This window comes from Homo sapiens, chromosome 16 (assembly GCF_000001405.40).
Source record: "Homo sapiens chromosome 16, GRCh38.p14 Primary Assembly".
In the NCBI taxonomy this organism is placed as follows: Eukaryota; Metazoa; Chordata; class Mammalia; order Primates; family Hominidae; genus Homo; species Homo sapiens.
In genome coordinates, this window is record NC_000016.10 from 17968668 (window position 1) to 17985309 (window position 16642).

Below are 16642 nucleotides of genomic sequence, written 5' to 3' on the forward strand. Positions count from 1 at the left end.
TACCTTTAAATCTTGATTGCAAACATGCTCCCTCCCCTCTGGCAAGACTCTCTCATCCTCTCAAATCCTCTGTTAATATTTCTGATTATTTTTTTCTTAAATAGGGTTAGATTGTTTTCCTCCCAACAAGCTCAGTAGAAAAATAGACATGAGGGAAAATCTGTTTTAGCCATTAGCTGTGTCTCTAATGCTGCCAGCGACCTCGGTGGGGCCCTTGCTGACCCTCCTTACCTCCCATCTGCATGCAGATTTCCTTTAATTTTAATAAAAACAGTAGGAGGTCAATCGACCACAGCCTGTGACCTCGCCAACAAAACAAGCCCCCAACATGGGACTCAAAGTTCAGGGAGCTTCCAAGTGCAATTTAAAATAAATGCTCACATAGAGCTATGGTCAGCACTCGGAATTTGTCTCAAAGTGATTTGCATATTTAGAACAATATTCTCCAATGCTTTGGCCCATTGGGGAGTGATTTGCATTCAGGGAGGAAAGGCTAATATTCTAGTCTTAGCAATTATTGAAACACATCCAGTCGGTACTCTAATAAATTATCTTAACCCAATTACTAAAAACATTGCAAAACATTACTGTGCATGGAAGACCGTTCTGCCCAGGAATCTTTATTGGCAGGGTAATTAAAAGCGTACTAGCTATGGCTTCTGCTCAAATATTTGGGGATGTTTTGTGCCATTTGAATTAGCTCTCTTGGACTGAGAAAAGAGATATCTGACAACTACTTGCTTTATTTATCTCTGCCTTCCCCACCTCCTTGCTTTGGGGACCACTCATAATTAAGGTCCCCTTCCCACATCAATGCCACCTACAACTTCCTTCCTACCCTAATCCTCCTTGCAGAAAAAAGTACTTACATAGGCCCAGTCCCTCCCCTTCATGCCTGCTATCTTTTATCAAAGCAAAAGATTTTGTTAGCCATTATGTAGTGGGTGCCTGCTATACATCAGAAGCTTCTGCATTATGAGAATAAATCCTACAGTAACATTTCGGGGAATGGTATTCCTATTCCATGCATGAGAAAAGTGAGGATTAAAAGGTTAAGTGAATTTCCAAAGTTCGCACAGCTGATGAGTTGCAAGATCAGGATCAAACTAAGGGCTGGTGGTTCCAAGGTCCTCCTTTCCTTCCCCAACAAGGATTTATCCACTGCTTATATGTGCCAGGTACCATGCTAGGCCCTGGGAATAAGGTAGGAACGACATCAGGCAGACTCCCTGCCCTTGCAGATTTTTGTATCCATTCATCCATCCTGTGTATCAGTCAGGGTACCTCAGTTATGCTGATGTAACAAGCCCAAAATCTCAATGGGAAGTAACAAACATGGCTTTCTCATTCATGCTTCATGTCCATGAGGGTTGACTTAGCAATTCACATGTCCACATCTACCTTTAAAGTAGGTGGGAAAATATAATCCTACCAGAGGACTGGAAGTCAGAAAGTTGGAAATATTTGATAAAAAGCATTAATGACAACCTCAGCTCCTGTGACAAAGGGGAAGGAGTCCTTTTTCAGAACAGGAGCTAGGAGCTCTCCAGTGAATTTACAATCAAGCTGCAAAGCTGGCCGAGTTCCCCAGCACTCTACATACAAATCCGACATTCATCTCCAAACACCATCTTTGTCAGACCACAGAGACCCCTGGCATCAAACCCTGCCATGATCACAGGGACATGCAACACACACTCCCTCATAATTAGGCTCATCTTCACACCCCCCAGCATGCGCCAGGCAGCTGGACCCTGAGCCAAGATATGAGGGTGCAAATGAATCCAGCCTGGAGCATAGAACAGAGGTGGCCAGGGCCGCTCTGCCTGTTGAATTAACTCTTTAGAATCACTTTTTTTTTTCTAGATCTGGGCGTCTTTGGCAGACAGCCACACAGATATGGTTCTCCCTCCATCTCATTAATGACATGGTTTGCTGTAAGTTCTCCTTTCACCACAGCCTAGACACTGGGCTCAAATACATCATCTAATTTAATCTGCACAATGATGCAGACAGGAATATACTAATGACTTCATTTTACAGATAAAGACACAGGATCTGAAAGATGAAAGAAACAGCTCAAAAAGTGGCAGAGCAAGCCTTTGAACCCAAGTCTTTGTGATTCCTGAATACACAGCAGCCTGGAGCTGCCAGATTCTTGGTCAGGAGCATCATAATAAAGACTCTGACTCCATGACCCTTTGTGTCATGGGCTAACCAGGACAAGAGACAAACAAAATGTTCCAGGATCCAAACCAGAAGTGACTGATCCCAATTCTAGTCCAAATCCCCCGGCATGCAACGTGAAAAAAAGAAACTAATTTTCAAGCACCTACTTTGGGCCAGGACACCAGACAAGTCCAGACTGTGAATCCCCGTAGTGCACATGGGCTAGGCCCACAGTATCACCACATTTAATCTTTCCAACATCATTGCAACTTGAATATTTTAAGGATAAGAAATCTAAGTCTCAGAGGGGATGAGCAGCTTGCACAAGGCCATACAGCCTGTAGGAGGCAGAGCTCATACATGAATTCTGTGCTGCCCAACTTCATGTTTTCTACTCCACTATGATGCTTGTTTTTAAATCCCAGGAGAAAGCCAGGAATGCCTGTTGGGAAGATTCCCACACACACGACTCACACAAACATGGGCTTTTCTATGATTGTCTCAGAAATAGCACAGCATCAACCCGGAAATAGATTTGAGGTCTTCCCCCAAGTTGAAGTATGCCTCACTCCAAACCAAGTCCATTAGTTTGCTAGGGGATCGCAATAACATTACCAACAACAGAAATAGGAAGAAGAGGAGGACAGACAAAAAGAAGGATGAAAGAAAAAGGGGAAGAGGAAAGAAGATGGAAGAAGAGACAGGAGAAAGATGGAGAAGGAAGGATGAAGAGGAGAAGGAGGAAGAAGAGGAAGAAAGAGGCAGGAAGAAAGACCATTATCACCCTCCCCCCGCCCACCACCACCGTAATTAAACATTAAGTACTAGGCTCTGTTCAGAGACTTTATGTGCACCAGCTCATAAATCTTTCCCAGAAAGCTCCAAAAGGTAGGGAGTACTATTATTCCCATTTTACAGACAAGCAGAATGAGGCTCAGAAAGGTCAGGAATTCTTCCCAAGATCAGCCAGCTACTAGGTGGAAGAGCCAAGCTTCAAACCTACGTCTGAATGCAAAATCCATTCCATTAACCAGCTCCTGCATCTTCCTCTGAAGAAAAGCAGGAAGAGCTTCATGTGGACCAGGGCTTCAGGGGACATAACCATGCTTCCTGCCAGGAAAAAAAGAAAAAAAAAAAAAAGTAGGAACAGGGTTGGTTAGTTTCCAAAGAGGATTCCTGTTCAACATTCTGCTTGCTGCCTCCCCACCCTCCTCTTGGTGCCCCACTGAAATTTCTTTTCTGGTGGCCACGTCCCTCCCCAGCTGCTCCCCGTGACGGCCAAGAGCAACTGGCATCTGATTATGGCCCCCCTCTAGAGAACTGCTTCATTCCTCACATCAAGGTGGGGCTATCTCTGTGCTACATTTGAGCCCAGAACTCCCCAAGGGACCAGTGTGAAGCTTCTCCCCATCCTTGCTCAGCTCCTCCTTCCCCTTTCTCCTGAAAACACTCCCCGGATAAACTGCTTGCCCCCGAATCCCTGTCTTGGGCTCTGTGTCTGGAGAATTGGACCTTAACCCCACGTCTCCTGCTCCCATCTCTGCCTCTGCTCACTTGGGGCTCTTGGACACCAGCTTCTGACTTCTGCTACTCGGCCTCAGAGGTGGGAGAAACAGGGGAGAAGGCAAAGTGAGGCACTCAGGGAGCCAAGGAGGCTGGAGGCACAAAGGCAGGCGGCTGAGGGGGCAGCCAGCTCGACCACGCAGGCAGTGCCCGGCCGCCCCCACGTCAGCCTGCCCTTGGCCTCGTGCACTTTGGATAATTAAGAACAGATGGCCCATCGCCTTGGCCAAGCCTCATTAACTCCTTAATGCCGTTCTTCTGGAGGCCGGATGGTCAGCCGGAAAAGCTCGCTTTGGAGGTCATCTGATTAAATGATGCCCGGCCAGAGGGCTGCCCAGTCCCTCTTCTCAGGCTGGCAGCTGCCCCGGTTGCTTCATTAGAGCTGCCATTGTGACCAGATGGGCCAGGAAAGGGGCTGGGGTGTGCTTAAGTGAGGGGAATGCGCTGAGTGAAAAGGCTTAGGAGTCAGGGAACATTGCCCTGAGGCATTGGGCAAGTCACTTAATCTAAGTCTCAGTTTCATCACCTCCCAAATGGCTACAGTCATAGCAATAACAGGGCCAGGCACAGTGGCTCGTGCCTGTAATCTCAGTACTTTGGGATGCCAAGGTGGAAGGAGCACTTAAGCCAGGCATTCAAGACCATCCTGGGCAACGTAGCAGTACCCTGTCTCTATGAAAAACAAACAAACAAAAAAAATAGCTGGGCATGGAGGTTCACACTTGTAGTCCCAGCTACTCAGGAGGCTGAGGTGGGAGGATTACTTGAGCCCAGGAGTCCAAGGCTGCAGTGAGCTATGATCACACCACTGCACTACAGCTGTATAATCACCACTGTAGCCTGGGCAACAGAGTAAGACCCTGCATGTAAAAAAACTATTTTAAACAATAATAGTTGTAATATTTTTCTAATGGCGATTATTTTTTCAATAATAATTATTCTAGTAATAAAAATAATGTGCCAAACACTTTACATGTCATCTCAGTTACTCTTCACAACTGCCCTTTGAGATGGTACCTCTTATGATCTGTACTTTATGCATGAGAAAAGCTGAGGCTCAGAGAAGCTAAGTAACTTGCCAAGTTTACATACCTGGCAAGAGTCAGGCAGAATTTGAACCCAGTTCTGGACGATTCCAGGGTGCCTGATCTTCACCACTGTTTTGGCCTGCTATAACAAAATATCATAAACTGGGTGGCTTGTAAATAGTAGAGATTTATTTCCCACAGTTCTGGAGGCTGTAGAGTCCAAGGTCATGGTGCTACAGGATAGAGGGTCCTAAACATGGTAGAAGGGCAAATAAGCTCCCTTGGGCCTCTTTTTTGAAAGGGCATTAATTCCATTCATGTGGGCCCCATCCTCATGATGTAATTATTTCCTAAAGGCACCAACTCTTAATACTATTGCATTGGGAATCAGGCTTCAGCATCTGTATTTTAGGGAGACAAAAACACTCAGACCACAGCAACCAGCCTGCCTGTCTTACAGGGAGATACCCGTCTCAAAGGAAAACAAGAAGCTACAAAAGCATTCCCTAGTCCTTGGCACAGGAAAAAATCTTTGACTCCCTCCAAAGAAAACTTTAAAACCCATATTCTTTATTTTGTCTATTTTTCACCCAGACTATCTTCTCAAACCTAAAAATCCTAGGCTTATATTGAAAACTTCAGGTCCCCATTGTGGAAAAGAGTGTGGCAATTCCTCAAAGATCTAGAACCAGAATTACCATTTGACCCAGCAATCCCCTTGCTGGATATATACACAAAGGAATATAAATCATTCTGTTACAAAGATACATGTACATGTATGTTCGTGGCAGCAGTATTCACAATAGCGAAGACATGGAATCCACCCAAATGCCCATCAATGATAGACTGGATAAAGAAAGCATGGTACATATACACCATGGAATACTAGGCAGCCATAAAAAGGAATGAGATGATGTCCTTTGCAGGGACATAGATGGAGCTGGAAGCCATTATCCTCAGCAAACTAACACAGAAACAGAAAACCAAGCGCCCCATGTTCTCACTTATAAGTGGGAACTGAACAATAAGAACACTTGGACACAGGGAGGGGAAAAACACACTGGGGCCTGTCGGGGATGGGGTCGGGTTAGGGAGAGCATTAGGAAAAATAGCTAGTGCATGCTGGGCTGAATACCAGGTGATGGGTTAATAGGTGCAGCAAACCACCATGGCATGCGTTTACCTATGTAACAAACCTGCACATCCTGCACATGTACCCCAGAACTTAAAAATAACTTTTTTTTGTAAAGAAAACTCCAGGTTCCTTGCAATGCTTCTAGCTACCTGGAACAAGGGAAAGAGGACACATGCACATCTACACATTTTGGATAAAGTTGACTAAGGAGAAGACTGAGAACTGACCACGTCTTTGGTCAATGAAAGAACCCAAGAAGCTTACACACTTGTGCCTCATTTGAGAATCCTGGGCACGTTAGGAGAGCGGCAGGTGGGCAGAACATGGGCAACAGATGTGGGACTCGGGGAAAAGCATACGGCTGAACTTGAGGGAGCAGGAACCCACTTTCTACACACAACCTTGGGATTGGCTGACTCCAGCAGGATCTGGTGCCTGCGTCTGGGCACAAGCACCAGAGACCCACAAAGGAATGGTTAATTCTAGTCTCTGCTTTTGAAATTCTAAAGTGCTGTGCCAGAAAATGTTTTATTTCTTGAGCTAGATAATTGTTCCATGGGTGTGTTCTGTTTGTGAAAATTCATTGAGCTGCTTACTTATGTGAATGTACTTTTCTGTTTGTACAGTATACTTCAGAAAAGAGTTTTTAAATGAAAGAAAAATGCCTCTGATGAAAAACAGAAAGTGCTTGGGAAAGCCCAAACTGCTACTCAGGTTAACTGTTTTGATGTTGTTAGCATGTTTTAAGCCCCTCCTCACCCTTATCCAGCAAGTCTGTTCCTCATCTTAAAACAAATGGGCACTCAGCTTGCTGAATATTGGCTTGCTTTTGTCTCCACATCTGTGCAGGAGAGTTCCCCCAAAACCACCTCTGGAAGAGTTCATGAGCATCTTACAGGCAAGACTTTATTACTCTGTATTCTCCAAAGGCCTTTACATGACAAAGATGTTCTCTTCCCTCATCACTTTCGCTCCTTGAAGATGGAGACGATGACATGGTTTAAGCAACTGGATGGAGTTCCTCATTCTGGCAATCACAAGATTCGTTGCCAAAAATGCTGAATGCTCAGAGCATTGAGCTTCCTCCAACCCACTCCTCATCCCAAGCATCTTCTCCATATTCTCTGCTTTTGACTTGACTTCTAAGTCCAGTTTGCTAATTCCATTTGGATCTGCTAATTCTTCTTTCCATTGTTCCCCACCTCCTCCAACTTCAAATCACTCTCTCCTCCAGTGGTTCCCATCACAATTAGCCTTCAACCAGTTGTCCAAGGCAAAACCTCAGAATCTCCCTAGATTCTGCCCTCTCCCTTACATGTAATATTTAGGTCCTGAACCCATCTGCTTCTCCTTACCTCCACAGGCATCACTGCGATCCAGGCCACCTCTATGATTACCATAGCTCCCAACTTACCCTCCTTTCAAACTACCCTACATCCAACAGCTAGGATAAGCTTTATTATTATTATTATTATTATTATTATTATTATTATTATTATACTTTAAGTTCTGGGATACAAGTGCAGAACGTGCAGGTCTGTTACGTAGGTATACATGTGCCATGGTGGTTTGCTGCACCTATCAACCCATCATCTAGGTCTTAAGCCCCGCATGCATTAGGTAATCGTCCTAATGCTCTCCCTCCCCTTCCCCCACAAACCCCCGACAAGCCCCGGTGTGTGATGTTCCCCTTCCTGTGTCCATGTGTTCTCATTGTTCAACTCCCACTTATGAGTGAGAACATGTGGTGTTTGGTTTTCTGTTCCTGGGTTAGTTTGCTGAGAATGATGGTTTCCAGCTTCATCCATGTCCCTGCAAAGGACATGAACCAGAATGAGCCTTTTAAAATGTAAATCTGATGAAAGAAGTTCCCTGCTCTGATCCTACAATGGCCTTCCCATCTCACTTACGTGTGATCACCCTTGCAAGACCTAGACAGGTTGATATCTGCTTAACCACCTCCAGACCAGCCTCTCACTCAGCCCCAATAGCAGAGGCGAATTTCCATTTCTTGATCACACTCAACTCATGACTCACGTCCAATATACATATACCTTTTGCAGATGCTGTTCCCTTGCCTGCAACACTTTACCCTTGGCTTTTCCATAGCTGGTGACTTTTCATGTTTCAGGTCTCAAAGAAAGGTGACCTCCTCAGAGAAGCCTTCCTTGACCACCCATCTAAATTGCTGTCCAATTATTCTTCATTGCATCTTCTCGTCTTATCTCCCTCATAGCACTTAATCAGAAGCTGGTATTTTTTATTTGCTTACTGTACTATCTGTCTTTTGCCCAAATAGTAAGGACCATGACACCAGAGGCCCTATCTTATTCAATGCTGAGCCCCTGGTGTGTGGCATGCAGTCAGGGCTTTTTTTTTTTTTTTTTTGAGACAGAGTCTTGCTCTGTCTCCCAGGCTGGTGTAATCTCGGCTCACTGCAACCTCCGCCTCCTGGGTTCAAGCAGTTTTCCTGCCTCAGCCGAGTAGCTGGGACTACAGGCGCACGCCGCCATGACTGGCTAAATTTTTTTGTACTTTAGTCGAGATGGGGTTTCACCATGTTGCCCAGGCTGGTCTCCAACTCCTCAGCTCAGGCAATCTGCCTGCCTCAGCCTCTCAAAGTGCTAGGATTACAGGCGTGAGCCACCGCGCCCAGCAGGACTTGTTGAATGAATACACCTGGCATTCTCCCCAGCGTCACTCACCCAGACTGCCTGCAAGAGACATACCTGGCCCTGACCCACCCCCTTCCTGCCATCCCAATTAAAGAAGGGAAATTGGACATGAAATAATGACTCCTGATTCTTCCCGGGCTGCTTTGGCTTCCTTAACCTCACTCCTCGCACTCAAATTTCCAAAACCAACAGAAAGAGCAAGGTCCTTCTGGACTCAGGCCTGCGTTACTCTTTTCCAAGTATTTGTGGTCATCTAGGCTCATCCCACATTTCCTATTACACTGGAAACCAAGAGGTAGCCAAATAATATGGTAAATCAAAGAGTCTGGGCTCGGGAGTTAAAAGCACCTAAGGTCGAATTCTGGCCGCATCCTATTTATTAGTTATTTGTTCTTTTTTTTTTTTTTTTTTTTTTTTTAGACGGAGTCTCGCTCTGTCACCCAGGCTGGAGTGCAGTGGCGCGATCTCTGCTCATTACAAGTTCCGCCTCCCGGGTTCACGCCATCCTCCTGCCTCAGCCTCCCGAGTAGCTGGGACTACAGGCGCCCGCCACCACGCCTGGCTAATTTTTTGTATTTTTAGTAGAGACGGGGTTTCACCACGTTAGCCAGGATGGTCTCCATCTCCTGACCTCGGGATCCGCCCGCCTCGGCCTCCCAAAGTGCTGGGATTACAGGCGTGAGCGACCGCGCCCGGCTAGTTATTTGTTCTTATACTAATCCTTATCAGCCTCCATTTCTCCTTCTGGAAAATAACAAGAATTCTGTCTCCCTCAAGACAGAGTCTGTGGCATTGTGGAATTATTTAGGGGTCAACCATTTCAACGAATGCTACATGAAATCTATCTAGAGAGTGGCACAAAGAACTCAATAAATGCTTTTGTAATTAATTCTAATTTCTCCCAGAAGCTGGCATGTCTCAGCTTACATTTTCCTTCCTCTGAGAAGATTCGTTTAACTCCACCACCCTCTAAGTCTGGGTTAGATGCTTCTCCTAAGTATAGATCTGGAACCCTGTACTCAGTGGGTTCTGTGGATCCCCACTGCATTACAAGTAAAGCTAAGTCCCTACACCAGCCTATGAGATGCCACGTAACAGAGTCCCCATCCTGCCTCTGGCCCTGCCCTCGCCACTCTCCCCATCATTCCCTCTGCTGCAGCCACATTGGCCTCATGCGGTTCCTCAAACTTCCCAGACTCTCACCCACTATTCCCTCTTCTTAGAGCATGCTCCCCCGGCTATTTACCCAGTTCCCTCCCTCATCCCCTCAGGACCCTCATCAAATAGCTCCTCAGTGAGGCTTTCCTTGGCCAGTGGAAGGCTGAATAATGGCTCCCCAAAGACGTCCACATCCTAATCCCCAGAATCTGTGACCATGTTACCTTTACATGGCAAAAGGAACTTTGCAGCTGTGATTAACAAGGATCTTTAAATGAGGAGTTTGTTCTAGATTATCCAGGTGGTTTCAATGGAATCACAAGAGTCCTTTTACGAGGGAAGCAGGAAGGACAGAGTCAGAGAGAGAGCGAGTGATTGGAAGATGCTAAGATGCTGGCTTTGAAGTGGAGGATGAGGCTATGAGCCAAGGAATGTGGATGGCCTTCAGAAGCTAGAAAAGCCAAGAAAACAGATTCTCCCCTACAGCCTCCAGAAGGAACGCAGGCCTGCTGACCTCTTTCAATTTTTTTTTTTTTTGAGGTGGAATCTTGCTCTGTTGCCCAGGCTGGAGCACAGTGGCATGATCTCGGCTCACTGCAACTTCGGCCTCCCAGGTTCAAGTGATTCTTCTGCCTCAGTCTCCTGAGTAGCTGGGATTACAGGTACTCGCCACCATGCCCGGTTACTTTTTGTATTTTTAGTAGAAACGGAGTTTCACCCTGTTGGCCAGGCTGGTCTCGAACTCCTGACCTCAAGTGATCTGCCTGCCTCGGCCTCCCAAAGTGCTGGGATTACAGGCGTGAGGCACCACACACGGCTCAAATTTTTGACTTCCAGAACTATAATGTAATATATTTGTGTTATCTTAAGCCACTAAATTTGTGGTAATTCATTACAGCAGTGATAGAAAAAAAGTTCAGCCACCAAATCTAAAATTATATTCTCCACCAATTGTGCACATGTGTATGTATTTGCATAAAACACACATGCATGTGCACTCACACAAAACACACACAGACACTCCTTATCCCTCTGTCTTGATTTAGTTTTCTTCATTCATCTGACCACCAAAATAAATAAGAAAAATAGGGCACATGTCTCCCACACGTACATACACACATACACACAGAGAAATGAGATTTCCACGAAGACACTGATTTGTGGCTATGTCTTGTGTCTCTTTTTGTCACTGTTGAGTTCCTTGCACCTAGAAACTGGCCTGGCATTATTGAGTGAATAGAGACTCATTAAGTTTTGACTGCATGCTTTATCTTAGAACATAGACATACATTCTGTTATTATTTGTACAAAATCTCTCCACCTGTCAACTCTTAGCCCTTGAGGTCAGGGACCCATCTCTCTTCCTCACTGCTGTATCATTCCATCATTAGCACAGCACCCTATCCTCCCACAAGAGCCCCACGAACATGTGCTAAGCCATTGGGCCAACGCTACCACATTCCACACATCTGAGCCCCAGAGTTGTCAGAATTCCAACCCATCAAGAGACCTCGCATTTTATTTGATTGCAAATATGTCTAATTCCCGGTTCACTCGAGCAGCAAGAAAAAAAAAAGCCACTCGAGTCTGTAATTTACAAAGCAAATCTGCCCAGCAGAAATATTCATCTTCAGAAGACAGTGGGATTCAATCATTTTTTAAAAGGGGAAAAGAAAGAAACTTAACCTGTTTCTCCCATGTTCCAGTTGCATCGTTTGCAAAACTTTTGAAAGCCCTTTGAGGCCAGGGCTAATCATTTTGCTTCCAGGGGCTCATTTCCTGAGGTGGGTGGTACCTTTGTCACCAAGGAAGGAACGCAGCAGGCAGGAAAACTGAGATTGTGGCAGAAGTCATTCTTGGGGAAAGGATGTATGAAGATCTAGTCAATTCCACCCGGCTTGCTAATTAGAGTTTCAGAAATACAGAGATGCTGTGTCCCTTTGAAATCCTTAGAATAGTTGGATGAACAAGCCTGTCCCCTAAGGGAATGTGCAAGGACGTATTTAAATTACGTTATTTTTACTTTAAATAACCAAGTCGAAAGAGTTGGTGACTGGAAGTTAAATTAGGCAAGTCTAGGGATAATGAGTATGTATTAGACGCCCCTCCTTTTCCATTTCCTCTCTCATGGATCCATCTCATCCTTGTCTATTTCCTGCCCAATCTGTGGGCCTCTAAAGGATAAGGACCATGTGCTATTTGTCTTTGCATTTCTGGCAGTCATTATAGTCCCATGATAGTGCCTGACACATGCTAGACACTGTGTTGAATTCTTAAATAGATGCCCAGATGAATGAATGAGCGGATGACTGAATGAACAGATGGATAGATGGATGGATGAGTGTTTGAAACTGGAAATGAGTATGCCTGTACCAAATGCCTGTGTCCCAACTTGCTTGATAACCATCCAGGATGTTTGTTTTATCTACAGCTTCTCAGGCCCCTCCCCAAGTGGTTCTGATTCAGCCTATCTCAAAGTTAACCTGGGAATATGTTCTTGAACATTTTCCCCATGTAGCTCCGATCATCAGGCATGCTTGGGAAACACATGCCATCTCCATCTGTTTCATGCTTCCTTACCTGAAATGTCCTTATGTTTTATTCACCACCCCAGGGTAATCTTCAGCAGGTGAAGTTTCTCACATTCAAAATGGGAATCAGGGCCTCTTCATGTCTAGCTACTTCCTACTCCCTCTCCACTGCCATTCACCCCTTCCAAATGCAGTCTTATTTTTCTATTCTCACTCTCTTCCCCAGAGCTTTCAAAGATTTCTAACATAAGACCGAGATAGCAGAGCCCCCAGGGTCAGCATTCTGCCTGACAGCCGTGCAGCAACACGGACTGGATTCCCTGGAAGGTTTTGCGTCTAAAAGCAGGGCCTCGTGGCTCTCAGGATTCCCTTGCATGCAGCACCCATCCTTCCTGCCCATCCACTGAGTATACCAACCTAGGAAATGGAGGAGATCGAAGTGTGTGTTTACTGTGTCTCATGATGCATGTTCCATGAGATGGAAGATGGTCTGGGCAGCGATTTTCAACCTTTATGAACCAAGCAGGCTCCCGGGCTCCACTCTTCTCAAGATGATAGGGCGGTATCTTGTTTTTCTAGGTTTCATAGTTAGACCTCCCTCTGCAACATTTGATTTTTTTTTTTAAAAAAGGGTGCCAAGGATCAAAAAGGCTGAAAACTGCTAGTCTAAAGCATCATTTTTGAGCCAGTGGGCCATATTTCGACCTTTCTTTCTCAAGGTGCCATTAGAACAAGAAGGAATTGCCTTTTAGGACAGTGAACTAAGTACTGGAGTTCCTGTTTACACAGAGGTGATTGAACAACCTTAATAATTCTTGCGTTAATAATCTATTGCTGGCCGGGCGTGGAAGATCATGCCTGTTATCCCAGAATTTTGGGAGGCTGAGGTGGGTGGATCGCCTGACCTCAGTAGTTTGAGATCAGCCTGGGCAACATGGCGAAACCCCGTCTCTACCAAAAACAGTAAAAATAAAAAATAAAAAAAAATTAGCCGGATATGGTAGTGCTCACCTGTGGTCCCAGCTACTCGGGAGGCTGAGGTGGGAGGATTGCTTGAGCTGGGGAGGTGGAGACTGCAATGAGCCCAGATTGCACTACTGTACTCCACCGTGGGTGACTGAATGAGACCCCATCTCAAAAAAATAAAAACAAAAAAATCTATTGCGGCATAACAAATTACCCCAAAAGTTAATACCTACAAACATCAATGTTTATTATCTCACAGTTTCCACAAGTGAGGCACGGATTTGCTGGGTCCTTTCACAGTTTCCAACAAGGCGGTAGCCAAGGTATCTGCCGAGGTTGCAGGCTCAACTGGGAAGAACTCACTTCCTGGATCACTCTTGTGGCCGTCGGCAGGAATTAGTTTCTTTGGGGTTACGGGACTGAGGGCCTCAGATCTTCTCTCGCTGTTGGCCAGAGGCTGCCCTCGGTTCCTTGACACGCACATCTCTCCACTGAGCAGCTCATGACGTAGCATCTGGCTGCCATTAGAGGAGGCAAGCAAGAAAAGAGTGCGGGCAAGATGGAACTCAAGGTCTTTTGGAAACCTAATCTTGGAAGTGACGTACCATCCCCTTTGCTGTGTTGAGTTCATCAGAGGCAAGACGCTAGGCCCAGCCCATACTCGAGGGGAGGAAATCGTATATAGACATGAATACCAGGGGACCAGTGGGAGCTCTTCTTTTTTTTTCTTTGAGACGGAGTCTTGCTCCGGTGCCTGGCTGGAGTACAGTGGCCCAATCTCTGCTCACTGCAATCTCTGCCTCCCGGGTTCAAGCGATTTCCCTGCCTCAGCCTCCCCAGTAGCAGGGACTACAGGCGTGCACCACCATGCCCAGCTAAGTTTTTGTATTTTAGTAGAGGCGGGGTTTCACCATGTTGGCCAGGATGGTCTCGATCTCCTGGCCTCACGATCCACCCACTTCGGCCTCCCAAAGTGCTGGGATTACAAGCGTGAGCCACCACACCCGGCCGGGAGCTCTTCTAAAAGATGTCCACTGCACCTTCAAAAGCTTTGCTATCAGGTAATCCTCGGAAGTAATGGGATATGATGTGGTCAGCCACACCTGGGTTCAAATCTTGGCCCTGCTACTTACTAGTACCACTACTGTTCATAATAACAATAACCATTCCTGCTATTCCTTGTTAAGTACTGTGCACATCTTCACAAGTGTCATTTCATTTGACCCCCCCAAAGCATCCCCTTGAGAAAGTCCTTTGACTATCCCCAGAGCATGAATAAGGAAACTAAAGATTAGGGGAATTCAGCAACTCACCAGACATCTCAGAGCTACCTCTGTAAGCAGAAAAGGCCAGATTCCAGCCACAACGCCTCTGGTTCTGTGAGTCTGAAGCTATACTCTGACCACTGGTGTAATTCCTTTGACCTCCACCAACCGTGAAACAGAGATGCTAACACTGGTCTTCAAGGGCTAGTGCAGAGGATGAGGTAAGTGAATAAAATAGTGGCCCATAGTCAGAAATCAGTAAAGGGTAGGTATTTTGTTTAACAAACATTTGCCAAGCACTTCATCTGAGCCAAGCATTGTGCTGATCCTGACTTTTCTTTTCTTTTCTTTTTTTTTGAGATGGAGTCTCGCTCTTTCGCCAAGACTGGAGTGCAGTGGCGCAATCTCGGCTCACTGCAAGCTCCACCTCCCGGGTTCACGCCATTCTCCTGCCTCAGCCTCTCCAGTAGCTGGGACTACAGGCGCCTGCCACCACGCCCAGCTAATTTTTTTTTTTTTTTTGTATTTTTTAGTAGAGACGGGGTTTCACCATTTTAGCCAGGATGGTCTTGATCTCCTGACCTTGTGATCCGCCCACCTCGGCCTCCCAAAGTGCTGGGATTACAGGCGTAAGCCACCGCGCCTGGCGATCCTGACTTTTCTCATACAGTTTTGTTCAGTTTCCACGCCGACCCCATGATGTAGCTGGAGTTAAGTGCTTACATTGACTTATTCAAGCCAGGCTCTGTTTGAGTGCTTTGTAAAATTTCACTCATTGAGCCCTCAAAATGACCTTAGGAAGCAGGTGCTTGGAGCAGATGCCACAGGTGGCCTCACCCGTGTCACTGCAGGGCACACAGGTTCAACTTCCAGTCTCCAGCACCTGCGTTTCTTTGCCAGGGCTCTCTCGGGCTGGTGAAACTTGCTTTATCCTCATGTGACAAGCTGTGCCACCCCTGCTCCGGGGACATCCTTCAACAGATGACCAGTGCCCCAGGTCACTCGTCTCTCCTGAAGAACTATGAGTTGTGAGTTACACAATATCTACCAGAGCTGCCCAGAGAAATTCCTGCCTGTGTTTCCTCTGTAGGGGCTGGCTTCGTAGCATATCCTTCGTGCCTGCCTTCTCCCTACGTGTCCCTGCTCCTCTACCCATGTTCTCTGAACCTTCCAAATAAATTACTTGCCCCCAAATCCTTGTCTCAGTGTCTGCTTCTGAAGAAATCCAAATGAAGGCAGTGTTATCATCATCATCATCATCCCCATTTTCAAATAAGCAAAGTGTAGCACAGAGAGGTTAATTAACTTACCCAAGGTCACACAGCTGGGAAGCAGTGAAGTCAGAATTCAAACTCAGGCAGTCTGACTCTTAACATTATGCATAGTGATTACATTTTTAAAAAATTCAACTTTTATTTTAGCCACAGGAGGTACATGTGCAGGTTTTTTACATGGGTGTATTACACCCGGGTAACAAGCACAGTACTCAATAGGTCGTTTCACAAGCCATGCCCCCTTCCCTCTTTCCCCTCTCTGGTAGTTTTCAGTGTCTATTGCACCCATGCTTAAGTCCATGTATGCTCAATGTTTATCTCCTACTTATAAGCATTTTTCTTTCTGACTGAGCTGGGTAAATGGAGGAGAAGAGTTACCTTATGGTGCCAAGGAAAAACTGTCTACACCAAAGCTCTGTGTGTAACCAGTGGCCGGGCATGCAAATGGTTCCATGTATTACTGCAAAGACCAGCACTCTTCTCTAATGAAAATGTCAGCTCCCCAACACAGCCAGCTGTGATTCCATTGAAAAATGTGATTACGGAAGCCATGCTAATGGTGTTAACATGTTGCAAGGATTTCTGGTGTGCTTGTAAACCTAAAACCGTAATTGCCAAAGAGAACTCGTCTCCCACAAATCAAACCCCTCTGTATTGACAATTACATCCGGTGTTGCACGGAATTTAATGCCTAAATAATGAAGTCGAAGAACAATGCTGGAGCCTGAGCATTTGAATATATTTGATTGATTCATTTCTCGCTCCCATTTAATAACCCACTTAGTCAGTGACGGTTAAGTGCACCAGAGAGAAAACATTTCACAGATTAATAACTAGATGTGGGTACAAGCTGGCGCTCCCCTAATAGCAGCACAAAA

At 45.8% G+C, this 16642-nt stretch overlaps 1 long non-coding RNA gene across 2 annotated transcripts in view, besides 2 other annotated features; it reads right to left on the reverse strand.

Annotated features, from left to right (window-relative positions):
* The window catches only part of LOC107984893 (uncharacterized), a 111412-nt gene extending 107578 nt beyond the window's left edge, over nucleotides 1-3834 (reverse strand). For both annotated transcript variants that reach the window (XR_001752093.2, XR_001752092.3), the window contains exons 1-2: nucleotides 3724-3834; nucleotides 3173-3279 (exon numbers count right to left, since the gene is read on the reverse strand). This is a non-coding gene — a long non-coding RNA (uncharacterized LOC107984893). The remainder of the gene's footprint in view (nucleotides 1-3172; nucleotides 3280-3723) is intronic.
* Nucleotides 3370-3898: an enhancer, noted in NCBI's record as "H3K27ac-H3K4me1 hESC enhancer chr16:18065894-18066422 (GRCh37/hg19 assembly coordinates)". NCBI's record gives its function as "activates a minimal SCP1, AML or CMV promoter by ChIP-STARR-seq in primed H9 embryonic stem cells {active_cell/tissue: H9 hESC(primed)}" and the evidence as "EXISTENCE:reporter gene assay evidence [ECO:0000049][PMID:30033119]".
* Nucleotides 3899-4427: an enhancer, noted in NCBI's record as "H3K27ac-H3K4me1 hESC enhancer chr16:18066423-18066951 (GRCh37/hg19 assembly coordinates)". NCBI's record gives its function as "activates a minimal SCP1, AML or CMV promoter by ChIP-STARR-seq in primed H9 embryonic stem cells {active_cell/tissue: H9 hESC(primed)}" and the evidence as "EXISTENCE:reporter gene assay evidence [ECO:0000049][PMID:30033119]".